At 35.0% G+C, this 16,962-nt stretch overlaps 1 pseudogene; it reads right to left on the bottom strand.

The window, feature by feature from the left end:
* PPP1R2P8 (protein phosphatase 1 regulatory inhibitor subunit 2 pseudogene 8) lies at nt 8,452-10,036 on the bottom strand (annotated as a pseudogene).

Genomic DNA, 16,962 nt, shown 5'->3' with positions numbered 1-16,962 from the left:
TTTCTTCATTTAGAGGAAAAACTGACACTTGCCCCAGTAATTCAGTGTTGTGTCAATTTCCCTAAGATGATACAATTGTGTTATGAGTCTCTTCTGCCTTAGGATTGTGGGGCTAAATGAAAACAGAAGAAAAGGGAATTCTTTGTTGTTCCTTTGTTTGCTTTGTTTTGTTTACAGAATGGTCTTAGGCCAATTTTTACCTTAGGGGTCTTTCCATATTCAGGAAAATAGCCAAATTATAATAATTCTGCTGATTATTTTGACAAAGTTGGACTTGATTCAGTATTTTTAACAATAATTTAAGATATTCATCGGTGTCCTATCTGCAGCCACCTTTTTGTCAGTAATTGCTCAAATCATGACCATTAGCCAATTCACTAAATAAATCACCATTTACAATTCTATGAATAAATGGAATGTGTACATAAAAATGACCATTCGAGAGCTAAGGATTATTATCTGTCAATTAGGATTACTGACTTGATACACAAATAAATAAAACAACCTCAGCTATAAAAGAAACATAATAAATAAAAGGGAATAAAATAAACATGTAATAAATGTAAAAGGTAATAAATATATAATAAAATATTTACATAAAAGGAATAAATAGAAAAGGGCATCATGTACGTATATAATATGAATAATAAATATAAAAACAAAATAAATATGTATTAAATTCTTAATTATAAAAGGGAATAACATAGTCTCAGGTAGCTACAAAAGAGAAAATCTCTTTTCCAAAGACTTTTATATCCAATTAGAAAACTAGAGAGGAACAATCATATGTAGGGTTTTAAAAATCATATCAATATAATTATATGATTCTGATTTAATCACACAATAAATATTTTTTTCTAGGAAAACAATTACAAAAATGTTTATTTCTGAAATGCAATAGACAACTTTTCAATATGTAGGTATCCATTATCAAACACCCTTCACAACACACAGAAAATAGAATAATTAGCTGCCTTTCATATTAACATAGGAGATGATTGGCCAGATTTTCACTATCATCCCATCTCTGATGATACCATTAATCAAACATTGTCATCATCAGCTCCAAGTGGTGTTGCTTAAGGCTCACGTGCCAAGTGCCTGTAACACTAACTTGTGATAATTCAACTTTTGTAAATTGCTAATATAGCAATTTACAATTAGTTCAGAATAATTTTTAAAGTTCTGAATTAAATGAATCAAGTTTTACATTTCTATATAAGTTCACCTAATATAGGTGCCTTTCATTAACACACTATGTTAGATTGTATTATTACTAAAAACTATTCAGTGTTCCTCTCTGGGGAAGATTTATGCTTCCCCACTACGGTGATTTTAGGATTGCATATAACTTACTTTGGCCGATTACAAGTGAGCAGAAATGTGGCACTCCAGAGCAGAAACTTTTAAGAGCCAGGGAACAGTTTGCATGAACGCTTCTTCTTTCTATTTGATCTTGGTAAATGATCTAAATAGATGCTATCCCATCAGCATGGGTTTATGAGTGAAGACGACATGCAATTGAGTTGTAATAAACATGTAGTGTAGGTGAAAAATACATCCTACTTCTTGTAAACCCCTAAGATTTGGAAGTTGTTTGTTATGCAGTTATAACCTAGCCAAATCTGATTAGTACACCACATAAACTAATGGATTAGGATAACATGTATATCTTTGCCTGGGCACAGGCAGTACCACCAGCAGAAAATGAACATTTATATTACAGGCGAGCTCTGAGAGTGTTACAAGAAAATGAAATTGTTATTAGATGCGTTAGTTAAATCAATAAAACAAAAGATGCATACATTAAATATTTCTTCCTATTTCTCAATTTATCTTACTGTATTGCATTTTTGTTCTTGTTTAAATTTATTCAACATATGTTTAAATACCTTCTACTTATCCTATTTACAACAAATTCTACCATGTTCATTGTACTACCATATCGTATTCCAAACTTCAATTTATTTTATTGTTCACATATTGATGCTTATCTATTTGTTTCTAATTATTCACTATTATAATCAAAATTATAATAAGCTTTCTTGTACTTTCTCCCTATTCTTTATGCATGTGTAGAGAATATGAGCAGGTAATGAAATTGCCTATTAAAAGGAAATTTAAATTAAATATTACAAAATGCTTCCACTATTTTCCTCTAAAATGAATATAGAAATTTACACTTCTGAGAACAGAGAGGATCCTTTATTTACCATACACTTTTCCAAACATGCAGTACTTCCCAATCTTTATTTTACAAATATATGGGTAAGAATTAATACCTTATTGCTTTTATTTGCATTGCTGCAATTAGTAGTGATTTTGATAAATTCTTGAAGTATTTATTGGCACTGTGTTTTCCTTTATGTATCAACTGAGCATTTTGTAGTGGGTATTTGCCATTTCCTTCTGCTGTTTACAGTTTATTTTGTGGGAAATACGTAGTGATGATCATTGATCATTCATCTGATTCATGGCATATAATTACCACAAATCATTACCAAATTTCTTTCCTGTTTTTTTTTCTTTTTGCTTGTGCCCTTAGGCTTTCACACTACTATGTTTGACATATGCTTGCATATGTATGTGTCCTCATAAAATAATGTTGTCCATTTCATGTTGAGTGTTTATGTGTTCTAATAAACATAAAATACATGGTTCTATAGATTTTGTAGCTTTCACAGTTCATCAAACACTGTCTTTTTGTTACTGTACATCTTTCTGATTTATCGTTTCTAGCTACTGTGTCATTCCAGGATATAAATCCACATCTTATGTTTGCAAGTCAGTTTTATCTGCCGTTCCTGTGCATGACACATTTGGCCAGGGGTGTGTGTTTCTCTACAGCAAATACTCAACATCTAACTGCTGCATTGTAAGGTAGACACAGACTTAATATTATTAAATACTGTCACACTGTTTTCTAGATAGGCTATTACCATTTATGTGTCAACCAGCAGTACCTACTTGGATCTGTTTTCCCATATTCTTAATGATAATTTATATTATTTGACTGCTTTTTTGGCCAAAATTTAATATTTTATGAAATATACTTGTGTTATTAGTCAATGGTATTATACTATTAACTTGTCTCTTTATCATTTAGTTTGCATTTACGTGGTAGTTTTTTGCCTGTCTTTTATTTATATTCCTGATTTCCCTGAAAAAGAGATTTCTTCCTCATATACATTCAAGGTCTCCATCCTCCTCATTTGTTAACCTAAGAAAGTAGAGTAATAAATTTAGTTACTAAGTTTGGGAAAAATAGCAGGGAAAAGGGGCTACTCTACTTTTTTAAGACACTTGAACCCATGAGGGCCAAGCAGAAGGGGAGAAGAATGGTGAAGGAGAATTCTTGCCCTAATCCCACATTGGACTCTCAGTCTTCAATCTATATTTGTAATCTTATCTATCTCTCCACTGTTTGAGATCACAGATTGGGTAGGGAAGATGAGCATTAATAGCTCTAAGTCTTTAGATACTTTAATAATGGGGTTAAAAATATTAAGAAACAAAATTAAAAAGAGTGGAATTCAGGAGTGCACAGTATTTACACAGAGAAACTTCCATGGAGACTGGAGCATGATGCTGGGGCTTGGACTTTATTTTTTGATAGATGATTTAATTTCTTACATGGTTTGAGAAGGTTACATTGGGCTAAAGGGAGGAGGTTCTTATGTTTGTAAGACTTTTCAGTGCTAGAGTGAGATTTTAACCTAGCCATAGGGTATTTCGATCTTGGTGGCTTAATACAGATCAAAGAAGCTTCATCCATAAATGATTCTCTTTATAGTGAGGTAGAAATACAAGTTAAGGCATAATGACCATAGAAACCTAAACAAAATGAGGGTTCATAAAGGCAGGATTTCAGGAAGCCCACATACCACAGCTTATTTTTCAGGCACAGATTTTCCTACACATGCTTGGCTAAGGCAAAGCATTAGTGTACAAAGAAGAAAAGTGTTTACATGCCCTGTAAGCATCAGGGGGCACAATGATATTTGATTCCGTTAAATTTTGAAACACCTGAATTTCTTCTGTTGCAGAGCAAAACTGAGTTTTATTTTTAATACGTACATGACAGGCCAAGAAAATGAAAGGAGGAAAATGGGCCATGCAAACTGCTGTTAAAGAGAACATCAGATAAAGGGCAGATGATTTCATTATTATATGGAAAACACCCTTAAAGACAGCGAAAAGCTGTACCCTGTGGTTATAGAATATATGTATACATATGCAATTTTAAGATGGAAGATAGTATACAATAATTAAAGTAATATTAAGTGTGGTCAAGGTGTTAGAGTTACTGAAGATGTAGATACATATACCTTGTTTGGGCTCTGTGAGATGCTGGAAAAATTATAGAATTAAGCCTCTTAAGCAGATACAGATGAAAATTATGAATGGGATCTCAGGCAAGATAATTATCTATTAAGTGTATGCCTGGTTGGACAAATGGAAAAAAGTATTTCATTGGTGGTATTACCAACTGAGTGAGAAAAAGGTAGATAGAATTGATTTGAATAATAGATGATTCTAGGAGAAATATAAGGAATTGATTTCATATTACTTATAATGAGAGGCACCAACATATCAAACCTGGAAGAGAATGTTAGAAACACAAATGTCTGAATCAGATAGAAAAGAAAAGTAAAAGAAAGAAGTTATTCAATTCCAGCAACCAATTGGAATTCCTGGGACTCAAACTTCAGAAACATTTGACTAAACTTCAGCTCAATAATCTATTAAGGACAATCTTACAGTAGAAATAAATGTGAGGATAAGGAAGACACCGTCCTTGGTTTCACAGATACAGCAATTCTGTAGCAAAAAGGCAGAGAAAACATCATTGTGGACGCAGGACTCAAATGTGTTATCTCAAGAGATGATGGAGAAACATCACCAGATGGGGCCACCAGATGAGGCAGATCGAGTCCCAGAAACAAATAACATAAGAGGAAATGGATATGATGAGGTTCTGATACGAAACGACAGAAAATCCCCTCAACAAGGAACTGGTGATACTAATTTTTAAATTTTCCTTGATGTCAGCATGTCTCTAAACACAACTCTTTGGGAAAGAACATAATTTGTTTAGACAGATTTTTTTTCCCATACAGGTAGTAAATGCATAGTGAAAAAAAAAGGTCAGAGGGCCGGGCGCAGTGGCTCACGCCTGTAATCCCAGCGCTTTGGGAGGCCGAAGCGGGCAGATCACGAGGTCAGGAGATCGAGACCATCCCAGCTAACACGGTGAAACCCCCGTCTCCACTAAAAACACAAAAAATTAGCTGGGCGAGATGGCGGGCGCCTGTATTCCCAGCTACTGGGGAGGCTGAGGCAGGAGAATGGCGTAAACCCGGGAGGCGGAGCTTGCAGTGAGCCGGGATGCGGCCACTGCACTCCAGCCTGGGTGACAGAGCGAGACTCCGTCTCAAAAAAAAAAAAAAGAAAAATAAAAAAATGGTTAGAGATATCTTGTCAGAGGTTTTATTTCCTTTTCTATTTGGGCTTAATTTCACAGGTCATGAATAATGGACTATTGATCTACTATGATGCTCCCTTAACTCTAACCCACTGGGTTCTTTCTGCTGTCTTTGGCAACAACACTTTTGCCTAGGAGAGCTATTGTGGAGTTGGGGATTGGTTCTGTCTTTCTCATGACTGCCTTCATGCATTTAATCTTAATGGTGTCCTTCCTGGTATTCAGAACTTTTGATTTTTTAATTTGGCAATAGATGGCAAATGACATGGAATGAAAAGCAGAGACAGAACTTTCAGTCTTGAATTCAGTATAGTTTCTATATGGTTTCACTAATATGCTGTCAATTTCAGGCACTTCTGGTAGTAAAATAGAAATTGTCTTCCATGGTCACTGGGGTATTGTGGAAGACATAGCTGTTGGTATTTGAAGAGCAGTCGCAGGAAGGTGGAGTCCAAGTCAGGTTCTAACAGCCTGTCCTGGGGAAAATAGCCTAGTCTTTTAAAATTTAATGGTTAAGAGCAAGACTAAAAAAAAAGTAAGTGTAGATAAATAGCTTTTGCTCACTACTACTTCTAATTCAAATGGCTTTTTCCAGGAATCCATTCAACTCCCAGATCTGTTGTTTTTCACAATATATTAAGTTTGTCATTTCTACAGCCCCAAATAAAATAAATAACAATTACTCTTTTGTGTCAGGTTTTTCTGAGTCAGAATCCAGGGTTTGAAATCCATTTATATTTTTTTTCTGGTATTAGTAGATTTTCTTTTGAATTATGAGATCTCATCCCATAGTATGGATATACCTCCATTTATCTGTTCCTGCTGATATGTGTTTCCTGTTTCAGGCAGTAAAACACATAAATAAACAAACAAAATAAAATAAACTGCTTATAAACACTTCTGTGTAAGATATTTTGTGGACATTTGTTTTTATACCCTTTGGGTAAATTTCTAGGAGTAAAATTCCTGAGTCACAGCAGAGATGGATGTTTAATTTCATAAATGCTATAAATAATTGCAGTTGCTCTATAAATAATTGATACAGTGGTTGTAAGCTCTTGTAATATTTCTGGAAACATATGAGAGTTTCAATTGCTCCATATCCTTTGCAACATTTGGTATTATAATTTCTTTTATTTTTAGCTATTCTAGTGCATATGAAATAGTATCCCATTGTGATTTTAACTTGCATATTTCTGCTGACTAATAATGTAGCTCATCTTTTATGTACTTAATAGTCACACATATATACACATACCTGCACACCCATACATACATATTAATGAAAGATCTAATAAAATATTTTATCAATTTCTACATGGGTTGCATAAGTTTTTACATGTATAAAATACTTTGTAAATAGTATGTTAAAAATATATTTTCCTAGCCTTTGGCTAGAATACACACACACACACAACACACACATATATATGTAGACAAGTGGTAGTTTTTAATTTTGCAAAAGACTGACTTAGCCGTAATTTTCTCTATATTTTATTTTTACCTACCCAAATTTGCAAAGGCTTTTCTTTGTTTTTTTGTTTGTTTATTTCTTTAAGTTTATAGCTCTAGATTTTGTGTATGCTTCTATAATCTATTTTTAGGTAATTTTTGTGTATGATATGTATAAATCAAGATATATTGTTTTAAGGTGAATATTCAATTCGTAAAGCCCTATTTTTAGAAATACTTGCTTTTCTTCAATTCATTTACTCTGGCATTGTTTTCCATAAAGTTATTGTGGTGCTTTTGTCATAAAATATATTGTGGGATCTATTTCTGAATTCTCTATTACTTCATCATTATATATCATTGTATATATAGTGTATATTATATAATATTGTATATATAGTGTATATTATATATGTAGTGTATATATAATGTACAAAATTTTTACACTATGTATATAGTATATATTCTATATACAATATAATTATGTAATGAAGTTATATAATTATCATTATATAGTATAAAAATAGATACATTATGTGTATAATATATACTGTATATACAATATAATTACATAATGCAATTATATACTTATATCTTATATTATATATTACACAATATAATTATATAATATAACATATAACATAATATATAACATATAAATATATTTACAATAAAACCATACAATCTCCTTTATGGGCACGGTGGCTCATGCCTGTAATCCCAGCACTTTGGGAGGCTGAGGTGGGCGGATCACGAGGTCAGGAGATTGAGACCATCCTAGCTAACACAGTGAAACCCCGTCTCTACTAAAAAATAGAAAAAATTAGCTGGGCGTGGTGGCAGGCGCCTGTAGTCCCAGCTACTTGGGAGGCTGAGGCAGGAAAATGGCGTGACCCCGGGAGGTGGAGCTTTCAGTGAGCCGACATCGTGCCACTGCACTCCAGCCTGGGTGACAGAGCGAGACTCCATCTCAAAAAAGAAAAAGAAAAAAAGAATTAAAATCAGGCTGAGTAATTTTAATTTGTTAATATTTATCAAAAGTTTTTAGTTCTTTGAATTTCCAAATATATTTTAGATTTAGCTTGTCAATTTCTACCAAATTTATTGCTAATGTATAGATTAGGATGACATTTAATCTACATGTCAATGTGGAGAGAATTTGCCTTTGAAAAAATATGAGCCTTCTTACACACGAGCATAAGTTTTTTCTACTTATTTAGTTATTAAGTTGCTCTTTCTTTATGTTAAGATGTCCTTTTGTACCAGTTTAAAATGCATATAAATCAGTGATAATATGATTTTTTTAATGCTTTAGAGACTGAGCAATATCTTTTAATGAGAGAGGAGGACTACCTTTTTCAGTCTGTTACCTGGGTATGTTGCATGATGCTGAAGTTTGGTATATGAATGATCCCATAACCCAGGTACTGAGCACAAATCTTTATATGTTGAAAAGCATTTAATAACTTTAAACACATATGAATCATAAAATATGCCCATGGAGACAGCCTCAGCTGTGGCACCTAGGTCATTTTCTAGTGACAACAAAGCAAGTAGCCATATCTATGACAGCAGGTGCAGTGGCTGTGGCCCTGAGAGGACTCCATGGCTGTCCTGGGTATCTCTCCTGGCCCTGCCCTTCCCTTCTCAGGTCCTGAGCCAAGCAGTATCACTGAGACACAGCAGAAGTGGCCTGGAGCCATGCAGCTGCTCATCACATCTATCCTGAAGAGCAAGGAGGAACCTAGGACATTGTGGTGGCATCAGCCTGCCCTTCATGCATGTCAGTGAAGATCTGAGAATAAAACCCAGAAGTGGAGTGAAATGAGTACTGTGGCAACATAGAGCCCACAATGGCTATTGTTTAGTGAAAAGTGGTGAGTACAGTGTGATAGGTAATGAGGAAAATGCCTTGAGTGGCTCAGAAGCCACTGAAGCCATGACATGAAATATATTAGCTTACAAATTAGGTGCTGGTGAAGGCTGGAGGCCAAGTATAGAAGAGTTCAACAACAAGAAAGAATCACAGAGGAGGATAGTCATGTTGTACTTGAGGAACTGAAGTAGAAAAATTAAAAAATTGATTATCCTTTTAAAATAAAAAATAGTAATAATAAAAGGTTTAACTGTAATAGGCATTAGTAACCCACTTAAAGTAAAAGTTAAGAAGAAATACTAACTACCTTTCTGTAAAAACCGTAAAACATTAACCTTATCTCTTTCCCACATATTTTATAAAATCTGTAAATTTCTTTTTCTTCTTGCTATAAGACTGCAAAGTCATAAAATAAATAAGTATAATTTAAAAGACATGTTTTTCCCAAAATGTAAACTAAATCTCAAAAATGTCACATAATAATTAACTGCTTTTGTTCTCACTTCTATAAACTTGCTTCCTGCATCACATAATATCCGCCATCAACTGCTTAAAAGGCAACTGCTTTCTTTGTCTTGTGCTCAGACTTTTAGGATGCATGTCCACCGAGCCGGTGTATACCTTAAAATAAACTCTCCTGCACCCCATTCTGTCTCTCCAGCCTCTTGATTTCCCGCAACAGAACAAGAACAAAAGCAACAGTTTGATATGAAAAAGAAGCATCACAACAGTAAAGAAAATAATATTAAATTAGCTAGATAATAAATTTCAAAAGACTTACCTGATAATGAGAAAGGTGAATATGAAGAAATGTTAGAGGCTTCAGAGGAAGAAAGCATGAATAAGGAAGCACTAAATCAATGAACTGCTCTAAGTGCCCAAGTGCAATAGAGATGATGCAGTTCGCAGAAGAGATGTGTTCAACACTCCAGTTATTAGCATAAACACTCTTACTACAATACCATTTTTCTTATTCTTTACAATGACTTAAATGCTGAAATATAAACAAATTATAATTCACTGCCAAGAATTAAATGTAACCTTAGCGATTGATTAGACTGAAAATGTCTAAATGATACATAAGGTCTTGTGCCTTGTATTTCACAAAAAGTACAACACAGTGTCATCAGTCCAAAATTGCATTACTTTTATAAGGACACCAGCTAATTTGTAGAATATATTATGTAACTTCTTAGGCTTTAGAGAGTGAACGATAGCTTTTCAAGATAAAGAAGGACTATTTTTTTTTCAGTTTTTTTCTTTTCTACTTTTATTTTAGATTCAAGGGTACATGTGCAAGTTTGTTACCTGGGTATATTGCACGATGCTGAAATTTGGGGTATGAATGATCCCATCACCCAAGTATTGAGCACAGTACCCACTAGTTAGTTTTTCAACCCTGGCCCCATTCCCCCCAAGTAGTCCCAGGGTCTATTGTTACCCTTACCATCTTCATGCCCATGAGTACTCAATGTTTAGCTCCCAATTATAAGTGAGAACGTGTGGTATTTGGTTTTCTGTTCCTGTATTAATTTTCTTAGGTTAATGGCATGCAGCTGTATTCATATTGCTGCAAAGGACAAGATTTCATTCTTTTTGACGCCTTTGTAGCATTCCATAATATGTATGTATCACATTTTCTTTATCCAAACCACTGTTGATGGGCATATAAGTTGATTATGTCTTTGTTATTGTAAATAGTGCTGCAGTGAACATGTGTCTTTTTGATAGCACCATATGTTTTCTCTTGAATATATACCTAGTAATGGAATTTCTGGGTCAAAAAGTGGTTGTGTTTTAAGTTTTCTGACATTTTCTACATTGTCATCCACAGTTGATGAACTAATTTACATTCCCACCAACAGTGTACATGTGTTCCCTTTTCTCCACAGCCTACCCAACATCTGTGGGTTTTTTTTTAATTTTTTAATAATAGCCATTCTGACTAGTATGAGATGATGTCTTATTTGGTTTTGATTTGCATTTCTTGGATGATTAGTGATGCCGAGCATTTTTACACCTTTGTTGGACATTTCTTTGCCTTCTTTTGAGAAATTTCTGTTATGCTTTTTGTTCATTTCTTAGTGAAGTTGTTTTTTGCTTGTTTAATTAATGAAGTTCCTTATAGATTCTGAATATTAGACAATTGTCCAAGGCATAGTTATTGAATGTTTTTTATGTTTCTCTAGGTAATCTGTTTACTCTGTTGATAGTTTCTTTTGGTATGCAGAAGATCTTTAGTTTAATTAGGTACCACTTGTCAATTTTTGTTTTTGTTGCAATTGCTTTTGAGGACTTAATCATTAATTACTTCCCAAGGTCCATGTCCAGAATGGTGTTTCCAAGGTTTTCTTCTAGGTTTCCTATAGTTTGAAGTCTTACATTTAAATCTTAATTCACCTTGAGTTAATTTTTGTATATGGTGAAATGTAGGGGTCCAGTGTCATTCTTCTGCACATAGCTAGTCAGCTATTTCAGAACCATTTATTAATAGGCACTCCTTTCCTTGTTGCTCATTTTTGTCAACTATGTTGAAGATTAGATGACTGTAGTAGATATGTGACTCTATTTCTGGGTTTTCTATTCTGTTGCATTGGTCTAGGTGTCTGTTTTGTACCAACAAGTACCATGCTGTTTTTGCTATTGTAGCCTTAAAATATAGTCTGAAGTTGAGTAATTTGATGCCTCCAGCTTTGTTCTCTCTGCTAAGGATTGCTTTGGCTATTCAGGCTCTTTATGGTTCCATATACATTTTAGAAGTTTTAGTACTAATTCTGTGAATAATGGCATTGATAGTTTGATAGGAATAGTATTGAATCTGTAAATTGCTTTGGGCTTTGGGTAATATGGTCATTTTAACAATATTGATTCTTCCAATCCATGAGCATGAAATCTTTTTTTTCATTTTTTTGTATCATCTCTCTGCTTCCTTTAGCAATACTTTTTAGTTTTCCTTGTAGATATCCTTCACCTCCTGGGTTAGATGTATTCTTAGGTATTTGTGTGATTGTGTGTGTGTGTGGCAATTGTAAATGGGATTGAATTATTGATTTGTCTCTCAGCTTGAATATTGTTTGTGTATAGAAGTGCTACTGAATTTTGTACATATATTTTGTATCCAGAAACTTAGCTAAAGTCATTTATCAGTTCCAGGAATCTTTTGGCAATCTTTAGGGTTTCTAGGTATAGAATCCTATCATTAGTGAAGATAGTTTGACTTTCTCTTTTTATATTTGGATCCCTTTTCTCCTTATTTCTTTCTCTTGCCTGATTGCTTTGGCTAGGACTTTCAGGTTTATGTTGAATAGGAGTGTGGGAGTAGGTATCCTTGTCTTTTTCCAGTTCTCAAGGGGAATGCTTCCAATTTTTGCTTCTTCAGTGTGATCTTGGCTATGAGTTTTTCATATATGGCTCTTATTTCTTTGAGTTATGTTTCTATGATGCTGTATTAGTCCATTTTCATGATGCTAGTAAAGACACAACCAAGACTGGGCAATTTACCAAAGAAAGAGGTTTAATGGGCTTACAGTTCCACATGGCTGGAGAAGCCTCACAATCATGGTAGAAGTGAAAGGCACATCTCACATAGCAGCAGACAAGAGAAGAGGGCTTGTGCAGGAAACTCCCATTTTTAAAACCATCAGATCTTGTGAGAGCCACTCACTATCATGAGAACAACAGGGGAAAGACCCACCCCCATGATTAAATCACTTATACAAGGGAACTCCCACAACACATGGGAATTGTGGGACTTATAATGCAAGATAAGATTTAGGTTGGGACACAGCCAAACCACATCAGATGCCTAATTTTTGAGGGATTTCCATGTTGAAGGGATGTTGGATTTTATCTAAAGCTTTTTTCCATATCTATTGGGATGATCACATTGCTTTTGTTTTAAATTCTGTTTTAGTGGTGAATTATGGTTATTGATTTACATATGTTGAAACAATCTTACATCCTAGGAATGAAGTCTGCTTTATTACGGTAAATTAACTTTTGAATGTTCTGTTAAATTCTGTTTGCTAGTATTTTGTTGAGGATTTTTGTTGGCCTGAGTTTTCTTTTCTTTTTTTATTTTGTCTTTACCTGGTTTTGGTATCAGGGTGATTCTGGCTTTGTAGAATGAATTAGGGTAGAGTTCCTTCTTGATTTTTTAAAATAGTTTTGGTAGAGTTGATGCCAGCTCTTCTTTGTACATCTTGTAGTACTAGGCTGTGAATACATCTGGTCCAGGGCTTTTTGTCACTGGCAAGGATTTTTCAGTGATTTGATTTTGGAACTCGATATTTGTCTATTCAGTATTTTAATTTTTTTCTTATTCAATCTTGAGATATTTTTTCCAAGAATATATCTATTTCCTCTAGGTTTTTTTTTTTTTTTAATGTGCATGGAGGTGTTTACAATAGTCTTTGATAATCTTTGTATTTCTGGAGGATCCATTGTAAAGTCACCTTTGTCATTTCTGATTGTGCTTCTTTGCATTATCTTTCTTTTATTTTTTGTTAATCTAGTTAGTAGTTTATCTTTTCTTATTATTCTTTCAAATAACCAACTTTTGGTTTTGTTGATTCTTTTATGTATTTTTGGGACTTGATTTCATTCAGTTCCACTCTTATTTTAGTTTATTTCTTCCCTTCTGCCAGCTTTGGGGTTACCTGTACTTGGTTTTCTAGTTCTTCTAGGTGTGATTTAGATTACTAATTTGAAATCTTTAATTTTGAGGTAGGCATTTAGTGAAATAAACTTTCTCTTAACACTGCTTTTGGTGCATCTCAGAGATTTTGGGTTGTAGTGTCTCTGATTTTATTTATTGTAAAGAATTTATTTTATTTCTGCCTTGATTTTATTGTTTGCCCAAAACTCTTTGAGGAGTAAGTTGTTTAATTTCCATGTAATTGTGTGATTTTGAGAGATCTTCCTCCCATTTTTTTCTATTTTTATTTCACACTGGTCTATGAGTATGGTTGGTATAATTTACGTATATTGGAATGTATTGAGACTTGCTTTATGGCCAAGAATGTGGTCAATCTTGGTGTATGTTTCATGTACTGATGAGAAAAACGTGTATTCTGTAGTTAATGGGTCAAATAGTCTGTTGATGTCTATTAGGTCTAATTAGTCAAGTGTTAAATTTAAGTCCAAAAATTCTTTATTAATTTTCTGCATTGATGATCTGTATCTAATGCTGTCAGTGTGGTGTTGAAGTCTACCACTATTATAGGACTGTCTAAGTCTTTTCATAGCTCTAGAAGTACTTGTTTTATGAATCTAGATACTCTAATGTTGGGTGCATATATATTTCAAAAAGTTATGTCTTCTTGTTAAATTTAACACTTTATCATTATAAAATGCCCTCTTTTGTTAGTTTTTACTGTTGGTGGTTTAGTTTCTGTTATATGATATAAGAATAGTGACTCTTGCTCTTTTTTGATTTCTATTTGTGTAGTAGATCATTATCCGACCCTTTGCTGTGAACTTACGGTGTCATTATGTATGAGAAGAGTCTCCTAAAGACAGCAAACAGATGAATCTTGTTTTCTTTTTATCTAACTTGCCATCAGGGCTTTGTAATAGTGGTGCTTAGAACATTTACATTCAAGGTTAATGTTGACATGTGAGGTTTTGATCCTAATGTGAAGTTGTTATCTGGATGCTTTGCAGTTTCTATTGGGATTTTGCTTCACAGGGTCTGTGGGCTATGTACTTAACTGTGTTTTTGTAGTAGCAGGTATCATTCTTTTGTTTCCATATTTAGAACTCCCTTAAGTATTCTGTGTAAGGCTGGTAACAAATTCCCTTAGCACTTGCTCATCTGGAAAAGGTTTTATTTTTCCTTCACTTATAAAGCTTAGTTTGGAGTGATATAAAATTCTTGGTTGGAATTTCTTCCTTTCTTTTTTTTTTTTTTTTTAAGAATGATTAAAATAGGCCCCTAATCTCTTCTGATTTGTCAGGTTCCTGCTGAGAAGACCATTGTTAGCCTAATGGAACTCCTTTTGTATGCAATCTGCCCTTTTTTGCTATCTGCCTTTAAGATTTTTCCTTTAGTGTTGACCTTGGACAGTCTGGTGACTATATGCCCTGGTGATGTTCAGCTTATATGTTATTTTTCAGTTGTTCTCTGTATTCTTATATCTGGATTTCTACCTCTCTAGTGAGAATAGGAAAGTTTACTTGAATTATTTTCTTAAATATACTTTCCAGGTTTTTTTCTTTCTCTTGCTTTCTCAGGAATGCCAATAATTCATAGGATTAGTTGCTTAACATAATCCATCTTTCTTGAACACTTTGCTCATTTAAAAAAATATATTTTCTCTTTATTTTGTCAGACTGAGTTAGTTCAAAAGATCAGTCTTCAAGTTCTGAAACTTTTTCTTCTGCTTGTTACAGCCTATTTATAATGTTTTTAATTGTACTTTGAAATTCCTTAAGTGTGTTTTGCAATTTCAGAAGCTCTGATTAATTTTTTTAAGATATTTATCTCTTTTTTCATTTCCTAGGTTGCTTTAGAAGTTTCTTCATGTAGCTTTTCAACTTTATCTTGGATTTCATTGAGGTTCTTTGCAATCCATGCTTTTAATTATCTGATCTTTCTGAGTTTCCATTTTAGTTAGAGATGATAAGAAAATACAATCCTTTTGGTGGTGTCACTACAGTCAGATTTTTCATGGTGCCAAAATTCTTGCACTGGGTTTTTCCCATCTGGAGATGTTAGTACTTCTAAATTTTGATATTATTTTTATGAGGGTAGAATTTTTGTTCTTTTTGTTTCATTACCTATAATGTTATCTCTTAAAATAATTTTTCTTTCCCTTTCCCTTTTTTTTTCATCTTTCAAGAATGTTACAGCAGAGAATGCATGGTAGGGTCTTTTGGCTTTCCTTCTAAAGCCCTATACACTTCTTTTGGCAGTATGTGTATATATATGTACACATACTGTGGGATGTGTATTGGGATGGACTGGGATGGTCTGGGTATGTCCACCTGCATGTTCCCTGAAGGCAGGCACAAGCACCAATGCCAACAGAGAATCCAGTGCATGGCCACTAGGCACCCAGAGATGTTCCTAGGTGTAAATCTGGGAGAAATCCTTAGCTCCAAGTTCTCCTCATGGGGATAAAGGGGACCTAAGCTCCTAATCCATTAGTCTGGATGCTCCTGATTCCTGGAGATCTGCTGCCTGGGTGTGGAGCAGAGAGGGCCACCCTTCACCAAGATCTCTGTGCAGTAGGGTAAAGGCAACTCAGGCTGATGGACCAAGCAAGCAGGTTACGTGAATGCCTGGAGATATGCCTGGGCATGGAGCAGAGGGGGTCTCGCTGAACCACAGTCTATGTCCAGGAAAGGTGAGGCATGTCAGACTGCTGATCCAGGTGAGTGGATACTCCAAATGGCTGGGGATCTTCCAGGGAATGGAGTGGAGAGAGCTCTGCTGCAACATTATCTATAACCAAGAAGGGTGGGGAGGTTCAGGCTGCCAAACCAGGCAATTGAGTGCTCTGAACCAGGTGAATGGGTGCTCCAAAGGCCTGGAGAAGTGCCTGGGTATGGAGTACAGAGAGCCTCACGGCACCACAATCTATATCTAGGAAAAGTGGAGTGTCTCAGGTGGCCAAACCAGGCAATTGAGTGCTCTGAATGACTGGAGATCTCCCTGGGCAAGAAGCAAAGAGGCACACTGTGCCATGATCTATGTCCAGGAAGGGTGTGGTGGCTCGGCTCAGGCTGCCGAAGCAGGTGAATTGGTGCTCTGAATGACTGGAGGTCTTTCTGGGTGTAGAGCAGAGAGGGCCTTGCCACATCACGATCTATGTCAAGGTAGGGTGAGGTTGTTTGGGCTGTTGAACCAGCTGAATGGGTGTTCCAAATGCCTGGAGATCTGCCTGGGCATGGAGCAAAGAGATCCCTGCTGTACCAAGATCTATATCCAGGAAGGGTGGGACAGCTCAGGCTGCTAATCCAGGCAAGCATATGTTCTAAATGCCTGGATTTCTGCCTGGAGGTAGAGTAGGGAGGGCTCTGCTGTGCTGCCATCTCAGGGGAGCAGAATGGGGCAACTAGCAATGGCACACATAAATCAGTTCCAGGTTTTCAAGCCGACCCTGGCTGCAAGTCTCACCACCCAGGAGAAACTACAACTGTAGCA

The sequence above is a fragment of the Homo sapiens genome, chromosome 5, assembly GCF_000001405.40.
Source record: "Homo sapiens chromosome 5, GRCh38.p14 Primary Assembly".
In the NCBI taxonomy this organism is placed as follows: Eukaryota; Metazoa; Chordata; class Mammalia; order Primates; family Hominidae; genus Homo; species Homo sapiens.
The sequence above is the reverse complement of the archived record's forward strand: the minus strand, read 5'-3'. Positions and strand labels throughout refer to the sequence as shown.